Genomic DNA, 21,242 nt, shown 5'->3' with positions numbered 1-21,242 from the left:
GTCAGGGAACCAGAAGTGCCATCAGGAAAGGCAGTCAACAACAAGATTCAGCAACAAGGACTCTATAGAATCTTGCAAAACAGATGGCTGATTTTCTGCCACCTTGGTTCTTCCACCAAGAGTTCTGCTGTGAATTTGCTTCAGAAATGTCTCAGAGGCAGAGCACACTCCCTCCGGGATTCAGCTGCCATTTTATGACTTTAAGGCTGACCTCTAGCCTACAATCTAGGCCAGAATTTCTAACGACTCTTCGTCCTTCCTCCTACCTCCTAATCCAGAGCTCTTCTTTCATTACTCTGCCTCAGTGAATGGTCTCTGTCCATTAGTCCTGTATTCCAAGCCAGACCCTTGGAGTCAGCCAGAGTTGCTTTTTTCCCCCTCACTCCCCACGTCTACTCGATCATAAATCCTGATATTCTTACTTGAGAAAGATCTGTCCAATCCAGATTTCCTCTCAGTCCCCACCCTCTCTGGTGGGTTTTCCTGCCATGAGACTTTTCCTGCTCAATTTTTTTTTCTGACACAGAATAGAGTTGACCTCCTGTAGAGGAAATGGGTGTGTCAGGATCTCACACATGACAGAATGAGGGAAATGGGGACTGTATTTTTCTGAAGAACCAATGATCCCTGAGAAGTTAATACAGAGTGTTTGGGGATTAATAGGATGGAAGAAATCTGCCCAGGTAGGTGTCCCGTCTGCCAGGCTTCTTGTCTCTCTCCAAGTGCCAGATACCATCTCACCTCCACATCTGGGAGCCATCACAAATATACTACATCCTAAACAATCCTAGCCCAATAAGGTGAGACCCAGAAAGACACTGAGAAGTTCCTCTCCAAGATCTGGTTGCTGTCTGAAAACCTTCTGCATCTTGGAGTGGTTGATACCAGAAGTGACCACTCGTTTCCAGAAAGACTCTGGCTGCGTCCCATGGGGGTATGGTCTTATGGTGTCTACTAGATAGATACCCTTGAAAAAGTACCATGCACCTAATATCTACCGAAATGATACCCAGAGAAGGCTGCAGTAGGAAGTTGGATAAAGGGGCAGGCCTGGAGCTGAGGGCATGGCCTTATGGAGAGGGGGCAATGGGTATTTTCATGCAGGCATGATACTCCCATAAAGGGTAAAGTTGAATGCTCAGATCAACCTGAAACAATGGCTGCATTTGAGCAGAGAAGGATGAATTTTGGTATATTGTCTCAATGCCATGAACTTCATCTAATGTAATCTTCACCACAGCCTGTCAACAGATTGGGAAGCAGATCTAATTGTCTAAAAACATTAGATCAACGGTTTTCAAACACTCTTAAAGCTTACCGAAGATCCCAAGGAGATTTTGCTTATGCAGGTGATTTCTGTAAATATTTATCTTGTAAAAATTAAAACAGAGAATTTTGAAAGACAAGAATACACAAGCACACACTCCATGGCCATCAGAGTGATGATAACATTATGCGTCTTAAAGCCTCTGGAAAACTCCACTGTATGCTCGTGAGAGAATGAGCTTGAAAAAGACAAATAACATTGTAGCATTATTTAAAAGATAGTTTTTACTTAGTGTGGCCCCAAGAGGATCTGGGGGACCCTTCAGGAACCCTGCGCCATACTTTGAGGCCTATCTGACATGAGATCAAATGTTCCTTTTACTCCTCTCGAAAACTTGATGCTACACAGGAAATAATCCAGGAAAGTACCCTTACCTAAATGCTTAGGAAAAAGCAAACAATAGAAATCCACACAGTAGGCAGGAGTCATCTCTATTGGAATACAGATTTCTTCTGATTAATTTGGCATTTGGTTAAGGGGATTAACAAACTCACTTGCTTGGGCTTTCAATGTGGTCCCTTCCCTGGGACTGGAGCCCACTGTGCCCTCACACACAGCCAAGGCCGAGGCTCTCAACACATATTTAGTTGTGGGGCATGAGGGCTGGCCACTGTGCAAAGGCACAGGGGGCCACGTGAGACAGACCCGCTGCTGAATTACTCCACTGCTTTTCTTGCTAGGAAAAAAGGTGGGCTCATGGCTCAACTGATGTCCTGAAATCAGAAATTGCCATCGGTCCCTGGCACTGACTGAAGTATCTCAAATGAAAAGCATTTAAATTAAATTTGACCGCGTTTTCTAAGAGCTTTCTGAATTCACAGTGAAAAGCAACATCCATCAACCTTGTGCCTCTGCCCCACACAGACTAAGTCTAATTCACTTTTCCGTTATGGAACTGCAGTCCCTTGGGGGCATGGAGGGAGGAGCTCATTTCTTAAGGCAGTCGTGGTGTCTGTGCAGGCAAATGTCCGTCCCCAAGCTGTGGCCCAGGTCAGCTGGGCTTTAAGGATGTTGCAGCCTTCACCTCAGGAAAGCACGGCTCCATTTCATGTCTGCTGGTGACATACGCCTACAGATTTATTTTCTTTATAATGACTCAGTCCACATTGTTCAAAGAAGATATTTACCAACCGCATCCCATTGGCTCAGCTGCTCTTCAATCCATGAAAGCCCCTTTCAGGAGTTGTCATGTACATTTGTAAGTGCCTGGAAATCAATGCTATTTAGCCACTGTTTGTGACCTTTCAGACACAGAGATGATTTCAAAATGGCATGAGAAAGATAACATTAGGCGATTCCGATACAACACTCAGAATTTCCAATACCACTTCAATTGCCCTCTCTGGCAAAAAAAAAAAAAAAAAAAAAAAAAAAAAAAGGAGAAAAAGCCCAAGCTTTACTGGCTTCCAAGTCAGCTCTTAAAGCTAAAGTAAGTAGAGAGGCTGACCTGACTCACAAGAAGAGAACTGAATGCCCAGTTCTTACCCTTTTGTCAAAGGTCACGACCAGGTGACTCCACGTTTCCTAGAAGACGACCACTTGTGGGTTAGTGAAAGAGAACCAAGACATTGAGGTGAATGTCCTGGCTCCTATCTTGATTCGGCCTTGTGATTCCGTATGAAAATATCCTCTCTATACCTCAACTTCCCCATCTATGGAATGGGATAGTAACACTACAGTACTTGTTAGATTTACCTCAGAGACTCAAGATGCAGTTTTGAAACCTCTAAAGTTCTTTTCACTTTTTATCACTTTTTCAAAAGCAACATAGATCTATTTTTAAAAACTTAGATCACAGAGATTAGCTAAAATAAGAAAGAAATAACTTGAAATCCCATCACCAGTTTTTCTTCTAGGCACACACGCTTTCTTATTTTATTCAGTTATTTATTTAGTTCTAAAATAGGATTATTTTGAACACACTATCTGTTAACTTACTTTGTTACTTAACACTGTATTGAGTATAGCTTTTGAAGTCATTGCTTTTTTTTTTTTGAGATGGAGTCTCACTCTGTTGCCCAGGCTAGAGTGCAATGGTGCCATCTCGGCTCACTGCAACCTCTGCTTCCCAGGTTCAAGTGATTCTCCTGCCTCAGGCTCCTGAGTAGCTGGGATTACAGGTGCGCACCACCACACCTGGCTAATTTTTGTAGTTTTAGTAGAGATGGGGTTTCACCATGTTGGTCAGGCTGGTCTCGAACTCCTAACCTCGTGATCTGCCTGCCTCGGCCTCCCAAAGTACTGGGATTACAGGTGTGAGCCACTGCACCTGGCCTACATGTTTTTTTAGTAACATAATTTCTAATGATTGAATGGCATTCCATTGTGTATTTTTAGCATAATTTATCCCTCTAATTATCAAGTATTGGATATTTATGTGGTTTTATCTATTTTCTTTCTTTCTCCCCTTCTCTCTTTTTCTCTTTCTTCTTTTTCTTCCTCACTGTCTCTCCCACTCTCTCTCTCCTCCCTCCTTTCTGTCTCTTTGTCTCTATCTCTTTCTTGGCATTTGTAAATGACACAGCTGGAAACTCACCATCCCCCATTGTGGGAACATCAAGATCAGATGCCCTCAAAACAGGCAGCAGCCACGTAACTTAGGCTTGGCTGGCCATACCCTTTCACGAGATTTTAAATCTAGACTGAAAGGCTGAGGATAGAAGTGAAAGGGTTAGAATGCCTTCATTTCAGAAAAGGTGCTGTCCAGCAGTTTCTGCTGCCAAGACAATTTGGATCTGCTTTCCATCCAATTCAACCTCAGTTCCTCCTCATCCTCTCCGGCTTTCCAATGATCCCGTGTGATCCTGAAAATCCCTGTGGTAAATTTCCATCTGGCCTAAGGTAGCCATTTCCCATTTCTGTTGTTTATTATAAAAAAATCTCTAGCAAATGCAAACAGGAAACATCTGTACATTGTACGGTACTAATCTGACTTTTTAACATTTTAAATTAATCAAAGGAATGACTTACAGACATTAAAATTAAGGGTAAGTCTATAATTTTGGTTATGCTGGGACTTAGTTTATTTTTCTCCTTTACGAATGCCTGTTTGCCTCTGGAAATAGTAAACGTTTGTGCTTTTTTAGCTTGCCAAGTAAATTGATATTTGCTTAATTTGCTAATGAACTCTATTAGTGTCATGGCTGGAAACTGTTGGGAATAAGTTTCAACCGAGACCTAGTTTTTATAGGCTATTTATGAACCCCAGAAAAGAAAGATTTACTGTCATTTTTATGGAAATGCTCACAGGACCATAACTATGGTAACACAGACGGCATAGTTGTAAAATGCACATGTATGTATGCAGAAAAAGAAGAATGGTTAGGTAAATGGATGTTAGAATCACCTGTGAGTGAGAGGAACCTTGCTGTGGCATGGTTTTTGTTCAACCATATGGCCTAGCAGAGCAAGCGACAGGATGACTTTTCTTTTCAGTCTTTTGTCTGATTTTCTTTAGGAATCCATAATCGGGCTGGGTGCGGTGGCTCATGCCTGTAATCACAGCACTTTGAGAGGCCAAGGTGGGTGGATCACTTGAGGTCAGTAGTTTGAGACCAGCCTGGCCAACATGGCGAAACCCTGTCTGTACTAAAATAAATAAATTTTAAAAAATTAGCCAGGCGTGGTGGCAAATGCCTACAATCCCATCTACTTGGGAGGCTGAGGCAGGACAACAGCTTCAACCTGGGAGGGGAAGGCTACAGTAAGCCAAGATCATGCCACTGCACTCCAGCCTGGGTGACAGAGTGAGACTCTGTTTAAAAAAAAAGAATCCATAGTTGAATTCTTCATGGTCAGTCTGCATAGCGGTACTATTATTATTCTCTCAGACCAAGGGTTCACTGGGAGGCAAACCCTCTTGAGAACTGGCCTTTGGGGATCCACCAGGGATCAGCCAGGGGCTTCCAACTTGGAACTAAGCGCAGAACTGTGACACTCAGGACAGCTTAGGGCCCTCCTCCTAGCTCCATGTCTTCCTCTGTCTTCCTTCCACTTCCTCTGATAGTACCTAGTGCTGCAGAATAGAGCCCAGCCACTATAACACATGCTTAAGAATCAGACTGGTTTGAGATATAGAATCTGATACAGCTAGTTTTGAATCCAGTTCAGCTGCACTGACCTGACTTACAATAATTTATCCAACCAATTCCCTAGTATTGGACACTCTTTCTAAATACTCAGGTTCTTCACTCTTTCAAATTGTCATAAGGATTTATGAGATAGTGAATGCCTGGTATGTAATAATAATGGTATGTGATAACATATGTAATAATAGTATATAATAGTAATGGTGGCCATTATCATTTTGTAATAATTATGTTTGCCAGTAAGATATTTTGGGGTTTAAGGAACCCCAAAAGCCTCACATACTGGGTTTATTGAAAGAATATTTACAGGAATTAGAAAAATAATAATCCTAGCCACGTGAGTAGTAATGAATATGGGGAAATTCAACAAGTGGGACTAGGAGACCCACAGTATATCTGGGCCTCAGGACATACATACGGCTGGATCATCAATCAGCCCCCAAGAAAGTTTTGGGGAGGTGAGTGGCTGGAGCCCATAGCTTCCTACTCTAAGGCTTCCCTACTCACTTCACTGTCCTCTCTGTGCTTCTCACTTTTTTGAATAGGAACGAAAATTTTATGCTAAATGTTATTCATTCTTTCACATATAGAGCAGTTTTATTTTTATTTTTATTTATTTATTTTTTTGAGACAAAGTCTTGCCTGTCACCCAGGCCGAAGTGGAGTGGCGTGATCTCAGCTCACTGCAGCCTTCCTCTCCTTGGTTGAAGCAATTCTTCTGCCTCAGCCTCCTAAGTAGGTGGGACTACAGGTTTGCACCACCACGCCTGGCTAATTTTTGTATTTTTAATAGAGACGGGGTTTCCCCATGAGTTCAGGAGACTGAAACTCCTGACCTCACGTGATCCACCCTCCTCAGCCTCCCAAAGCCACTGTGCCCCGCCCAGAGCAGCTTTATTTTTGATGGCTTCATAGCATCTCATAATATGGGTATACTGTAACATATTTAACCAATCTTCACCTACCAATGGACTATTAGATAATTTGGCTACTACAAAAAATATTACATGAAAATTTTCTTTTTTTTTTTGGCAATTTATCTTTTCTGAGACAGGGTCTCACTCTGTCGCTCAGGATGGAGTGCAGTGGCATGATGTCAGTTCACTGTAGCCTCTACCTCCCTAGATTCAGGTAACTCGCCTAACTCAGCCTTCCGAGTAGCTGGGATTACAGGTGCACACCACTATGCCCAGCTAATTTTTGGGTTTTTGTAGAGACGGGGTTTCACCATGTTGCCCAGGCTGGTCTTGAACTCGTGGGCTCAAGTCATCCACCAGCCTTTACCTCCCAAAGTTCTGGGATTACAGGCTTGAGCCACCATGCCTGGCTGAAATGTTCTTGATTATCCTTGAACACATGCTTTAAAAAATGTATTTAGTTGATAAATAAAAATTGTGTATATTTGAAGTATACAATGTGATGATTTGACACATGCATATGTTGTGTACTGATTACCACAGTCTAAGTAATGAACACATCCATGGCCACCCATAGTTACCATTTGAGTGTGCATGTAGTGAGGACACTTTAGATCTGCTCTTACCAAATTTCAAGTAAACAATACTCGACTATATTGTGGTTAACTATAGTTACAATATTGTAATTTAGATTCCCAGAATTTACTCATTTATAACTGAAAGTTTGTACCCTATATGCTTATTAAAAAGAAAAGGATGTTTCTTGTTCTTCCCCTTCTAATGGCTGGCTCCCTCACCCTCTCCCCTGCATTCTCTCTCTGTGTCTCATAGCTTTTTTTCCTGTGTGTATTTTCTTCTTTCAAATGCTTCAGCTTCTTCCTGACTTCACCTCATGCAATGCCTCTTGGCCGCTCTTAGGACATCTTTTGAGTTCCTGCTGATTTTCCTGCCATTAGCAGTGCAGAGTTCATGTATATCAGAGTCTAGCTTGCCCCTTTTTGAAGAGAAATGTTCTTTCCAGACTCTACAACAAGCCTGTCTACTGTGGGTGAGATACCTTTCCTGGTCAAAGTGGACACAGTGAGATAGCATCATATCCACGTTTAATGTAGTTGGGCTCAACTGCATGAGCTGTGTGGAAAGAGAAATAGAGGAGCACACAGGGAGACAGAGGGAGGGGAAAGAGGAGCAGCAGAGTTCAAATGAGTTGTGCAATTTTGCCAGCATTTCTACTTGTGAGCAAGTGCCTTGGGATGAGAGTAAAATGGAAGATTTCAATCTATGGACTATTTAGATTTTCTCAGTTTCTACATTTTTCTTGTGGTGCGAGAAAACCCTAAACTGCATGTGATTCCAGTGTTTTAAAGTGTATTTTTGGACCATACTGTCCGAAGTTAGGTCTCCTGGTCACAGACTCTGATATGGAGATTTGGGGGCAGGAGATTTATTGGGGAATGATCTTGGGACCAACATCCTTAGAGTGAGGGAGCAGAATTGGGTAACGAGAAGTTAAACTGTGTTGCAATTGCAACCAAGGCTTTAGAATTGTCCCCAAATGAGTCAAGAGGGCCAGGCTTATGCACCTCCAACTCAACCAGTCAATAGATACAAGCTGACCCTAGGAAGGGGGCACAAATTTGGGCAAGGAAGCTCCTTTAGCTCACGGCAATTACTGAAGAGGCCATGGCTGGAAGCCAATAGCAACCAGTTCTCCTGGTAGCTAGAGAAATGGGTATCTCAGTCCTAAAAATGTTAGATCTGGGTGGCACATTACAGCTTCCACCACCCAGAGGTGGTATCTATTTATCAATGCATAAATGTATATCCATTTTTCTGCTCACCCATCCAACTAACCCATCCACACATCCTGTCGTTCACTCAACACACATTCATTGAACACCATGTGCTGGCCACTATCCTAGGAGTTGGGAATACATTAAAGTACAAAGCTAATGAAAGCCCTGCCCTCATAGAGGCTACATTTCAGTGAGGGAGGCAGATGCCCAATTTCAGGTAGTGACAAATGCTGTGAAGATACATAAGATGAGATAAGGAGGACAGAAAATGAGAGAGGAGGTTATTTTATATAGTGTGCTCAGGGACGAGCTTTCTGCCCAGCCTCCTTTTAAATAGTAAACTGAATGAGGTGAATCAGTGAATGGGCTAATTGGGGAAAGGATGTTCTAGGCAGAAAGAGCAGGGAATCCAAAAGTCCAGAGGCCTAACTGGGTTTGGCATGAAGGAGGAAGTGTTCGTGTGTCTGGAGTACAGGGAGTGAAGGGGAACATGATTAGAGGTGATGTTGGAAGGTTAGACAGGAGTCACATCATGTGAAGCCTTAATGGCTACAGAAAGGACTTTTGATGTGTTTCTGAGTAACATGGGCATTGGCTGCTATTGAGCTGAGGAGTGAAGTGATCGAACTTCAGCGTAAGCAGGATTACTCTGGCTGTAGGTGGGCAAGGGAGGGAGCAGGGAGACCAACCAGGAGGCCAGTTCAGTCCAGAGGACGAGTGCTGAGAGCAGAGAAGTGGCTCCTATATGCCAAGTGGCTGTTTTATTTAGTGCTTGATAAAATAAAACAAGAATCAGTTTCCAACAATGGATGAAAAACATCTGTGTTGGGCTTGTTGTGAGACAGTATACAAAGTGGTGACTTCCTAAGGGATTTTAAAGAGTAATTTTGAAAATATGCAATTTTAAGCTTATTTGCTGAATTTTAACTCCAACTCCCCAGGCGTCTGTAAGATGAGATGTGAATAAACTTCTCTTATGGCTGCCAAACCCTTGAGCGTAAGAGACTGTGCCTTTTATCTACGCATCCCAAATATTTACCATGGTGCCTGAGACTAAGATATTTAAGGAATAAATGAATGAATCATGAGAAGATGGTATGGCAAGCATTTGTCTTATGTGGACTCTCTACAGACTTGGTGCGCCCACACTGGACATTACTTTCAAGAAGAATGTGGTGATTAGAGTCTTAGAAAAAATATTATTTTCTCTGACCAATCAACATGTATTTGAAATGAAGACATTCTGGAAGTTATGTGGGATTGAAAGTTCACAATTCATATGCTCGATTTGCAACTAACAACTCAGAAAGATTTAAAGAGGCAAGAAATAATTCTTCACAGTCAAGAAGGTAGATACTTACAGCATATTATATTTTCTAAAGATTTATCCCACATGTTATTCTGCAGTGTAACTTTTCCAAACTCCCTTCCAGAGGAATAATCTACTTTGTACTCCTTTGAGTCTGGGTGTGCCCCATGACTGCTTTGACCAGTAGCACATGGCAGAGGTGATGCTGAGCCCATTCCAGGCTCAGCTTAACATGCCTGATAGTGTCCTGCACTCTTGGGTATCCCCTTCTCAGAACACAGATGCTACACTGAAACTCCCCAGCCACATTGAGGTATTTCAGTTGAAAGCTCCAGCCGAGCTGCAACATTGTCTGGCAATCGTGTGACTGGGTCATCTTGAACACTCCAGCCCAATTAAGCCTTCAGATGACTGCCACTCCAGACAAACCTGACTGCATTGCATGAGACACACCAAGTGGAAACCAGCCAGTTGAGTTCAGTCAAGCCACAGATCCATGAGCGATGATAAGACGTTATTTTAAGCTACTAAGTTTTGGGGTGGCTTGTTGCACGGCAGGAAAAATGGAATGATACCAATCATGGACACCTAATCACTTAGTGGATGTCCATGCCGAATGGAGTGAATGTCAAATCTCATTGTCTTGGGGTGGCCTGGGCCCTCCCACTTTCCACCAACTTCACAGGCCTGGCAAGGCCTGGATCTGTAGTGAGCAGCATCACAGACTCATGAAGTCATGAGTGAGCCCTAAGTGATTCTCTGCCATCATCTCCATCCCACGACACTCTCTCCTTTCCCTTTCCCTTCTTCCTGTCTGGCTCCTCACTCCTCATACAGAAGCTAGTTTTCTTCTTCCTTTATTAGCTTCTCTCCCCTGGATAATTTTCTTATACTCTTATATTTTCTCTCTTTGTTCATCCTTTCCCCTTCCTATCCCCAAGTTTTTCCCACATTTGTGGCTCATCCTCTTCTAACTTCCGTTGAGTGCCACTGTCTTCCTCTCTTTTGGGTTCACTTTGGGTGGTGGACAGCTGATGCTTTTGCCTGCCTGGCTCCTCTTGCTCTTTGTTTTGTTACCATCATAGAGGCATCCTTCCCTCATTCCACGTGATCTATGTGGGACTGTCAATCAAGCCTCCCTCCCCCTTCCCAAGCAACCTTCAATCAAAGGCACATCACGTGACCAAAATAGGCCACACTCTTCCTCCTGGGAATTTGAGTCTTCAGTGTTGTGTTGATAGAACATGGTTGGTGTTGAGTGCAGACACCGGGAGAGATCACCCATTTGTTCCTGCTGCCTAGATTTGGGGAGCTGAACTGTCTCATTCCTGTTCCCCCATTCTCCTGAGGCCTGCTTATTCATTTTTTTATTTTCTATTTTTTGCATTATAAGCTATTCTTCCAATGGGTAATTTTAAACTTGAATCAATCAGACTTATTTTCTGTTGTTTAGAACTAAAAAGTCTCAACAGAAAAATTGTCTCCTTCCTTTTCCTCATACACCTTTTATTTTCTTCTCTCATTTTCTCTCCCTCCCCATTTAGTCCTCTTACTTTATTTTTTTATTTTTATTTTTTGAGATGGAGTCTTGCTCTGTCACCCAGGCTGGAGTGCAGTGGCACGATCTTGGCTCACTGCAGACTCTGCCTCCCTGGTTGAAGTGATTCTCCTGTCTCAGTCTCCCGAGTAGCTGGGATTACAGGCATGTGCCACCACACCTGGCTAATTTTGTATTTTTAGTAGAAAGAGGGTTTCACCATGTTGTCCAGGCTGGTCTCGAACTCCTGACCTCAGGTGACCCATCTGCCTTGGCCTCCCAAAGTGCTGGGATTACAGGCATGAGCCACCGCGCCCGACCAGTTCTCTGTCTTTCTATTTATTTCTGTGCTTTTCTCTTTCTCATTATCTCTTTTCACTGATGAACATACACAAGAATTTTCTCTCACATGCACCCTTAACCATTTTGTTTTCCTCCAGGTTCTTCTTATACTTTTTAAATAATCAAATTGTTTTAAAATTAAAATCTTCTGGACCTTGCTTATGTTCAGTCAATTCCAGATGGCTCTCCTTCCCTTGCTGGTGGTCTGTGGGACTGTAATGAAACCGTGCATCTCTGTCATTATTTTTAGCTACCTGTCCCTTACAGCTCCCTCCCAGAATGTTTACCGGCTCTTCCAGAAAACAACAGTATTTTCTTGCTGCATGGCTTGGCCCCTGAGCACCAGGCCTCTCCTTCTGGGTCTGTAGTGGTGGCTTGTAGAGGGTCTCGTATGAACATGGCATATCTTTGGTGCTACTTTTTTAGGGGGTATCTTTAAACAGCCTGGCTGATAGAATTGACTCATGGAGAATATCAAGGTCCAGAGTTAAAATAACTTTGGAGTGAAAAATAGGAGATCTGGGCTCCATTCTGAGGTATGGAGCACCTGTGTCCAGGCTCTGAACCACTACATGTGCTGCCTGTCACTGGGTGCCCGTCTGCTTCTCCCCCTCTTTTATTTTCCTGCACTGGTCCTGGTCAGGGCTGTGCACAAGGGCAGGTTGCAGGCAGGGTCCTCCAGAGAAAACTGCCAGGGCCCATCTCTGAGTGACCTGTTAGGAAGGAGATGGCAAGTGGTAGTAGGGCCACTTGAGAGAGTCTGGAACTGAGGAGGTTTATAAGTAGCATGACACACACATCGTCAGTGCCCTGCCTGTATTTGCCTGCCACTCACCATTCCTGTGCATGTTAATGACGTCCCATTGCCAGCACCTGAGAAAGCCTGAGGGCTTTTGCTGGCTGCAGGTGTGTCCTTGGTCGATGTGTGGGGCAGGTCAGAGTATAGAGGAGTTCACCTGGGGGCAGCCTTTAACCAATGATGAAAGTAAGTTATTAGCTAAACACCTCAGCTCTTTAACTCCTTAAAGAGGGACCTACTCCAAGGCATGTTCTATACAGTCTCCCAGAGGTCCCCAGTGGGACTGAGCCTCATCACAGTAACTCGCACATCAAAATACCTTATATTGGCCACCTTCCCTTTCCTGTTTTACTCCCCACTCCCTACTAGTGCTTCCTGAGGTCACCCATTCCCCCGCAATAAACCATCTACACTCAAATCCTTGTCTCAGGATCTATGATCTGGGACAGGTCAATCTGATAAGGTCCTCAAACTGCACAGCCAGTGGATGACAAGTCAGAGAGAGCTCCCAGTGATGATATGGAAATACAAGTTGGCCCCTTGAGGAGTTCCTCTTTTTAAATTGGTGCCTGCATGTGTGTGTGTGTGTGTGTGTGTGTGTGTGTGTGTGTGTGTGTGTGATGATGGGCTGGGGACAGACATATGAAATTACTCTGGACTAGGGGATGGGCAACAGAAGCCCATTCAGGTTTTATTACCCATTAGCTAAACAAATCGCCGAGCTTTCTCTATCACATTGTCTTCTTAAAAATATGGCCCAGCCAGGAGCAGTGGCTCATGCCTGTAATCCTAGCACTTTGAGAGGCCGAGGTGGGTGGATCGATTGAGGTCAAGAGTTCAAAACCAGCCTGGCCAATATGGTGAAACCCCCATCTCTACTAAAAATACAAAAAAAATTAGCCGGGCTTGGTGGTGGGTGCCTGTAATCCGTGCCTGTAATCCCAGCTATTTGGGAGGCTGAGGCAGGAGAATTGCTTGAACCCAGGAGGTGGAGGTTGCAGTGAGCCGAGATTGCAGCACTGCACTCCAGCCTGGGTGATACGGTGAGACTCTGTCAAAAAAAAAAAAAAAAGGCCCAACTGGTACCATAACCTGAAAGCATTAACTGACAACTATGAACCTTTTTTTAGCCCATTGAGAAATAATTGTGGTGCTGGGGCCTTTAGGTTCCTTTACTTATTAAAGGTTCTTTTAGTTTTTATAGTAAAATAGTTTTGATAACAATTTCTAAAATGGCAGCATTATGTACTAAGCTATGGCTGTGAATAGTGCTGATTTTCAACAACTATGTTCATTATAAATTCACTGACATAAAAAGTGCCATAGTGATGAACTCGTGTGTCCTGAGCTCTGAAATCATGAAAATTTAATGGCTGCACTTCCATTGCCATGAGTCATGGTTCCATTGTTGCCATTAGTTCCTGTTTAACATGCTTGAAGCATCCTACAACAGAGCAAGCTGATCCTTTCAAGACAGCTTGTCTTTCACTGTGTTCAGGACTGGGACTTGGGGCTTTGATGTTTCCTGCATCTACCCTGCAGACCACGCTATGAGTTTTCCTACAAGGCTAAGAGGCTGTCATGAGATGCTGGGAACACCAGCTCTATTTTATTCTGGGCCTGGAGAGGGTGATGAGTTTGTTCTAAGACTCAAGATTTAGAAGCACAGATTCAGAAAATCAATGCTTTTGACTTCTTCCAAGATGATTCTGCAGAATGGGTCCAAAGAGAAGAGAGGCAAGAACAGTTGACCACAAGAAAATGTATAGAAAAGTTATATGTCATGCATGCTGCTGTGTGTTTTCCCATGATGGCCTTGTTCAATTTCCACAGAATTCCTATGTGTATATTTATTATATTCATTTTTGCAGATGAGGAAATTCAAGTTTAGAGACATAAAGTAACTTGCCTGAGATCACACCACTCATGAGCATAGAATTGGATCTCCAATTTCATCTTTTTCATCACTTTGTCTTATAGCAGTGTTTGAACATTTGAAGTTGTTGGTTTCTTCCACAGTCGCATATTCTCTTCGAACCCAAGTTTCCCCACCAGTGTAGGAGGTTGGGACAGATGCTGACTAAAGTTCCTTCCAACACTTGGATTTTATGAGGGGCTGTTAAAGGGTGAGCCTGGGCCAAAATATTCTGGGTCTTCTATTTTTCTGTTCTTATTATTGGATGAATTGACTCTGCAAAAATGAATGTAATGAATATACACATAGGAATTCTATGAAAATTGAACAAGACCATCACGAGGAAACTGCATGAGACACTTCTAAGATCATGAATTGTCTTTACAATGACTCCATTTGAAACCTCCTTTGGGAATCCACAGAGACCTCCAGCAGGGTGTTCCCAGCAAGGCCCACCTTAAGCTGGGTGACTTCTGGGGGGAAGTTTCCTACACACCACTTATTCCAGCCATGGTATGTGGGTTCTTGGCTTACTTCCCCACACAGATTCCAAAGCAGACCTGTAGAAAGCTTTCCAAAGGAGCCAATGAGGGCTTGCCTTGGAGACATTCCAAACCTGTATGCTAGAGCTTAGTGAAGGGCCACAGTAATTGTGTAGCCCTACACTTTTACAGGAGCCTGGCATGTCCACACCACTCACCTGCTGACCTCCAAGGTGTCCACTGCGCCACGGCTCTACCTAGAAACAACACAAGGCTTTCTTTGCTTTCGGTCTCTGTTTTTGCTTCCTGGCTTTAGCCCTGTCTGTAATCAGGGCTCTAAGTTTTGTTCTCCTGCTTTTGACTTTTCTCTCTTGGATATTTGTTCTGAGTCATATTTCTGGCCACTTCCATTTAGGATCATGTTGTATAGAACATTCTGCCTTTAGTCTGGTCACTTTTGACCCAGCCCACCCCCTCCTAGGAGCCCATGGGACAAGAGTCTGGTCTGGACCTTCCCCATCCTGAGTGAGATGAGTAAGTTTCAAAGCCTGTTCCAAATTGAGTCAGGAAAATGGGAAATATAGTCTGCTCTCCAATTAGAAGTGAGGTTCACAACACTATGTTGTATATATCAAAGTAGCTAAAAGAGAGGACTTCAAATAGTACCTGCTGGGCGAGGTGGCTCATGCCTGTAATCCCAGCAGTTTGGGAGGCTGAGGCAGGAGGATTGCTTGAGCCTAGGAGTTTGAGACCAGCCTGGGCAACATGGCAAAACCCCATCTCTATGAAAAATACAAAGATTAGCCGGGTGTGGTGGTGAGCACCTCTAGTCCCAGCTGCTTGAAAAGCTGAGGTGAAAGGATCACTTAAGCCTGGGAGATCGAGGCTGCTGTGAGCCGTAATTGCACCACTGCACTCCAGCCCGAGACTCTGTCTCAAAATAAATAAATAAATGAATAAATAAATAAATGGTACCAACACATAGAAATGATCAATACTCAAGGTGATGAATACAATAACACCCTGACTTGATTAGGACACACTCTATGTGTGTTAAAAACTCTCACATGTGCCCCATAAGTATGTAAAATATTACGTATCTATAAAAAAAACTAAACAAAACGAAGACATGGGAGGATAAATGTGGAGAACATAAAATGAAAAATTCACTCCTGCTAAAGTAGCAGTATACTTGGCCTGTGGCCTACTTCTGCCATATATATATTTGACCACTTTTTTCCACTGATACTGCCCAGAGGTAATGGTTTCCATTGCAATTTAACAAATTACCACAAACTTAGTGACTTCAAACAACATAAATTCATTTTCTCAGTTTCCATGGTTCAAGAGTCTGGGTATGTGTTGGCTGATTTCTCTGCTCCAAGTTTTATTGGGCTGAAGTCCAGGTGTTGGCCAGGGCCATGATTCTTGTCTCAGGCTCAGGGTTCTCTTCCAAGCTCACTGGTTGTTGACAGAATTCATTTCTTTTTGGTTGCATGACTGACTATATCCTGTATGACTGTATAGCCTCCTTGCTAGATATCAACTGGGGACCACTTTCAGTACCTAGAGGCCTCCTGCAGATCCTTGCCACATGGCCCCCACCTATAATTCACAACAGGCCTCTCTACTTTCTCTCGGTTCAGCAGGAGAATGTCTCTTTGGTGTTTCATCTTCTTATAAAGTTCCCTCTGGCTGAGTCAGGTTTACCAAGGTAATCTCTGATTAACTCAAAGTCACCATGAGAAGAGGGATGACCTAAGATTCCATTAGTGTCCTGCCTGGTGTGCATCTACAGCAGGGGCAGCTCTGGTTTTCACTGTTTGTGAGTCTTGTGTTTACTTTGGGAGTTGACACCCGAAAAATATGGAAGAAAACAGTTTTAATACGATTACTTATGGCTACTCGACACTTGATCTTGTCAGACTCATCAGCCCTTGGTTCTGCAATCAAGACTGTTATTCAACATATACAAACCCTAATTCTCACTTACCTGCTACCATTCTTCACTTGCAGTGAGGGAGGGCCACTGGCTTTGCTGTATCACATATAAAAGAGTTAGAGTTAGACCTGGGTTCTAATAGCCTCTTAAGCAGACTTTCAACGAATTCTCCTTTTCTATGTTCCACTAATAGCTCCCATTCCAAAGGCACTTGATGCAAACAATTCTTGAAACTTTGGGGAGTACTGTGATATATTTCAGGTTCTCTTTGGCTAAGGATTCAGATTTGTAGATTTAATTAACATCAACTCATCTGCTTTCAAGATTCCTACATTTTGTTTCTGTTGAATTATCTTATTTCCTTTCTGTTTCAGTTTGGGGAGGAAAGGGATCTAAAGGAGTACACTCCATGTACCATCCTTTTTTTCCATAAAAATTCTATATATTTAAGATTTACAGCTTGATGGTTTGACATACATATACATAGTAAATGCTTACTATGGTCAAGCAAATGAACATAGTATGTGTGTCATCTTTAATCAGAAGCCTGCTAATTTCATTCTTTGACTATTAGTGATCCATGAGTGACAGAGATGCAGCACAGCACAGAGGAGAATGGAGTCACTGGGAGTTTGGCGATCCAGCTTTGATAAGAACGAGGTGCATAACCTTGAGCAAGTCATTACCTCTTGTTGACTTTTACTTTCTGTTTCTGTGAAATAAGGCATTGAATTAGATAACCATGAAAGCACCATCAATGATTCTACGTGGTCCCTCCATTTTGCAGGATTCTGAGTTGATCAAGTCAACTTCTTTTCTTTAGTGAGTCAAATAAAAGTTTTGAGTGTAAATATAGCATTTTAGTTAGTTTTCTATCACGGTGCACACAGTAGGACAGGGGTCAAAGTAGGTTTCTGGCCAAGATGCCCATATCTGGAGGATCATCCCCAGACTGAATGTCCCAGCATTTATGCCACATGGAAACCTATGCCATTTTTGAGATGATAATGTTTGTTAGGAAAACGAAAGTTAGGCACACCCATAGGTGCTTTGTCATTTCCATAGCTTTTTCCTGGTTCCACGTTTGAAAGACAATTAGGAATGGAGGCATCTCAGCCAGTGTCTAAATCTTGCTGTTGATACAACTCTGATGAACAGACGAACACCAGGGTCCTTGGTCTCATGTCGATTTATACAAAACAACAGACACACGTGGAGTGGTTTAAGGAGCACAGAGTTTAATAGGCAAGAAAGAAGGAAGAAGCTCCCCTGCACAGAGACAGAGGGAGAGGGGCTCCAAGCCCAGAGAGGAAACCCTGAGTGCCACAGAAAACAGCCAGTTATATGAGGAAGCTAGAGGAGGTGGTGTCTGATTTGCATAGGACTCAGGGGATTGGTTTGACCAGGCATGTCATTCACGTAGCCTGTGAAAAAACTGGCCCTCCCATCCTAGCCTTTCAATATGCAAAATCAGGTTGCCATTTTGTTCTATACACTGGGTATTTGTGGGGGCAGCCATGTTACCAGGCACATGTGGGGGCAAGAAGAAGATGCAGGAACCGCCATATTTGGCTGGACCCAGTTTCTAATGGCCTGCATTTGCACATTAAAGCTTGCTGGCCCTGGCTGGGGGTGGTGGCTCACGCCTGTAATCCCAGCACTTTGGGAGGCGGAGGCAGGCAGATCATGAGGTCAGGAGATCCGACCATCCTGGCTAACACGGTGAAACCACGTCTCTACTAAAAATACAAAAAAAAAAAAAAAAAAAAAAAAAAAAAAATTAGCTAGGCGTGGTGGCAGGCGCCTGTAGTCCCAGCTACTCGGAAGGCTGAGGCAGAAGAATGGCGTGAACTTGGGAGGTGGAGCTTGCAGTGAGCCTGGATCGCGCCACTGCAACTCCAGCCTGGGCGACAGAGCCAGACTCCATCTCAAAAAAAAAAAAAAAAAAAAAGCTTGCAGCCCAGCTCTTAGTGCTGGGGCTTTCCTGAAGCCAAGGAAACGTTGTCCTGAAGACAAGAAACGTTTCTGGAGCTGCTTTAAAAGAAACCAAAACTTCCCAAGGATCCCTTTTCCTCTCTATCTGCCTAAAATAATGTCTTAGTAACTCTAATGCTGTGGTATAGGTTAGAGCATGATGATGGCCTATTTCTGGCCAGGACTGCCATGTACCAGGGTTGATGGCTATAGCTGTCCTGATGAACTTGAGAAAAATACCTTTATTCTTAGGTCTAAATGTTGCAGTCTGGCAAATGAGACTATTTGTTGTTTTATATGGGCTCCTACAAGACCAATTTATAATAAATAATATAATAAATATAGTATTTGAACTCCTTGGGAGAAAAGCAGATTATTTGTTTCACTGTGTGTGTATCTGCCTATCACATATGTGTGTGCACATAGGTATACACATATACAGAGACACACATTTACACACATATACATATGTGTGCAGTATGTGTGTACATACTTATAAGAATCAGACCCCTCTGGACATGTCTGATGAGCTGTGTCCTGCCCAGTGTCAGTTTCACTGAGCATCCCACCCCCCTCCCAAAGGAGCAAGGAGATGGGTGAAGGGACCCCTATATATCACTCATCTCCTCCCAAGACTCACAAGAAGCATGAGACCTGGGGAGACCCAGCAGTGGTGGCAGGGCTGCTGGGGTACCCAGGCAGTAAAGTGTGCCACAGATTGAGGTGTGGGCTATGTCCCCTGCTTTCTCTCAAGAGAAAGCTGGGCATGACTGCAGCACATTGGAAGACCACTGTGAAGTCACAATGATGTCCGGTGCCTCGCAGTTAGGGAAGGGAGCCTAAAGAAAGAGAAAAGGAAAGAGATGGCAGCCTCCATGTGGTAGCTGACTGAATCAGGATGAGGGGCTTCCAAAATTACCTTAAGAGCTTTGAGGAGGGTCAGAATTAATTTTCTTTTTTATTAATATTTTCCTTTTTAAAAATTCAATCATTAGAGGCAAAAGCCAATAAAACACAAAGTATATCATTCCTTGGGGCTTCCGTGAACATTCCATCACCTTAAAGGGTGATGATCAATCTGTCACCCCAAAGGTACCCCAATCCCTAGAACATTTGGATATGTTATGTTTCATGGCAAAAGGGAATAAGGTTGCTAAGAAGCTGACCTTAAAATAGAAAGACTAGCATGGATTACCCAGGTGGGCCCAATGTAATCACAATCACTCTTAAAAGAGGAAAAGGGGGAAGAGTGGATTGGAGAGATGTGATGTGGGAAGAACCCAACCCATATTGCTGGTTTGAAGATGTGGGAAGGGGGCCTGAGCCAAGGGATGCAGTAGTCTCTAGAAGGTGGGGATGGCCCTCAGCTTACAGTCAACAAGCAAATGGAGACCACAGTCCTACAACCACAAGAAACTAAATTCTGCCAACAACCCCAATGAGCAGGAAACCAATGCTCCCTGAGAGACTCCAGAAAGAAATACAGCCTGCTGACATCCTAATTTCAGCCTGGTGAGACCCCTGCGGGACTTCTGACCTACCAAACTGTAAGACAATTGGTCTGTGCTTCTCTAAGCCACCAAATCTGTGGTTATCTGTTAAGGTAGCAATAAAAACTTATATGATAATCAAAATGTCTAGGCCCAAATGGTTCAATTCTCTCATCTTTAAACACTCTTCAGAGTTGCTCTCAACTCTAAAAAATCTCTCTCTACTTTTTTATTCTTTTATTCAAATAGGAACTTGAAAATATATTTCTCTCATGTCTTGCTTTCATTCAGCAGTTGCTGGAAAATTGACTTTTTATTTATTAGTTAAAATTTTTTTACCAACATATTTTGGCACTTTTTCATCTTGGATTTTTTTTTGTTACAACCTTAAAAATGGAAGTACAAATAATGAGTTGTTTTGACCTATCATGTGGCAAAGGTAAAAGATGTATAATACGAAGTATGGTATGAAGTGTTGAGTGTGAAGGGAAAAGGCACTTCTATACATTGTTAGAGGGACTATAAACCTACAAAGTCTTTTGGGTGATATGACAGTATTTTTATTAATAAAAAGATGACTTTCTTATGACCTCAGGATATGCACAAAGGTAAGCATGTCTATTCTGACATTGTTTGAGATTGTGTTAAACTGGAAACCTAAATAAACTGCCAAAAAAGCAGACTGGAAGAATGACACCGGGAGGAGGGGAGGAGTAGGGAAATGAAGAGGGACACTCAGTCCTTGCTTTTAATCACCCCTACATTGTTTGACTCTTTTACAGTAAGGGTGTGATCATGTATCTGTAAAATAATGTTTAAGAGGAAAGGACTACAATGGTTCACGCCTGTAATCCCAGCACTTTGGGAGCCAAGGCACGAGGATTACTTGAGGCCAGGAGTTCGAGGCCAGCCTGGGCAACATAGCAAGAACCATCTCTACAAAAAAATTAAATAAATACATAAGAAGGGAACACCATTCTTAGGTTCTTTTCCAAGAGAAATTCAGATCCACTTTTACTTTTCAAAATAGAAATGAAACCAGCACATTATCAATCCCAAAAAGTTCAAGGCAGCAGGTGGATAATTTAGTCATGGAGCTGGCTGGTTAGTTATTTGGATAATTGAATTTACGCCATCATGGATAATGTAATCCAGTTTAATTTGCAAAAATGTCAGGCCTGGAGACAGATCAGAAGGAAAACATTTGGTGATGGCAGAAACATCAATGGAGAGACTTGCTTAGTGTTATGAGCTCTCCATAAGAATCGACCCTTTCACAATATAAGGACCCAGATTGAAAAGATTTGATGAAGAATCTTGGCAA

At 43.0% G+C, this 21,242-nt stretch overlaps 1 long non-coding RNA gene across 1 annotated transcript in view, besides 2 other annotated features; it reads left to right on the top strand.

The window, feature by feature from the left end:
• LOC124904874 (uncharacterized) overlaps positions 1–21,242 on the top strand; it is a 44,620-nt gene that overhangs the window by 3,304 nt on the left and 20,074 nt on the right. The window lies entirely within an intron of this gene.
• Positions 11,595–12,094: an enhancer, noted in NCBI's record as "H3K27ac hESC enhancer chr20:16187781-16188280 (GRCh37/hg19 assembly coordinates)". NCBI's record gives its function as "activates a minimal SCP1, AML or CMV promoter by ChIP-STARR-seq in primed H9 embryonic stem cells {active_cell/tissue: H9 hESC(primed)}" and the evidence as "EXISTENCE:reporter gene assay evidence [ECO:0000049][PMID:30033119]".
• Positions 12,095–12,596: an enhancer, noted in NCBI's record as "H3K27ac hESC enhancer chr20:16187279-16187780 (GRCh37/hg19 assembly coordinates)". NCBI's record gives its function as "activates a minimal SCP1, AML or CMV promoter by ChIP-STARR-seq in primed H9 embryonic stem cells {active_cell/tissue: H9 hESC(primed)}" and the evidence as "EXISTENCE:reporter gene assay evidence [ECO:0000049][PMID:30033119]".

This window comes from Homo sapiens, chromosome 20 (genome assembly GCF_000001405.40).
Source record: "Homo sapiens chromosome 20, GRCh38.p14 Primary Assembly".
In the NCBI taxonomy this organism is placed as follows: domain Eukaryota; kingdom Metazoa; phylum Chordata; class Mammalia; order Primates; family Hominidae; genus Homo; species Homo sapiens.
Note: the sequence above shows the minus strand (reverse complement) of the source record. Positions and strands in the feature narration are given on the sequence as shown.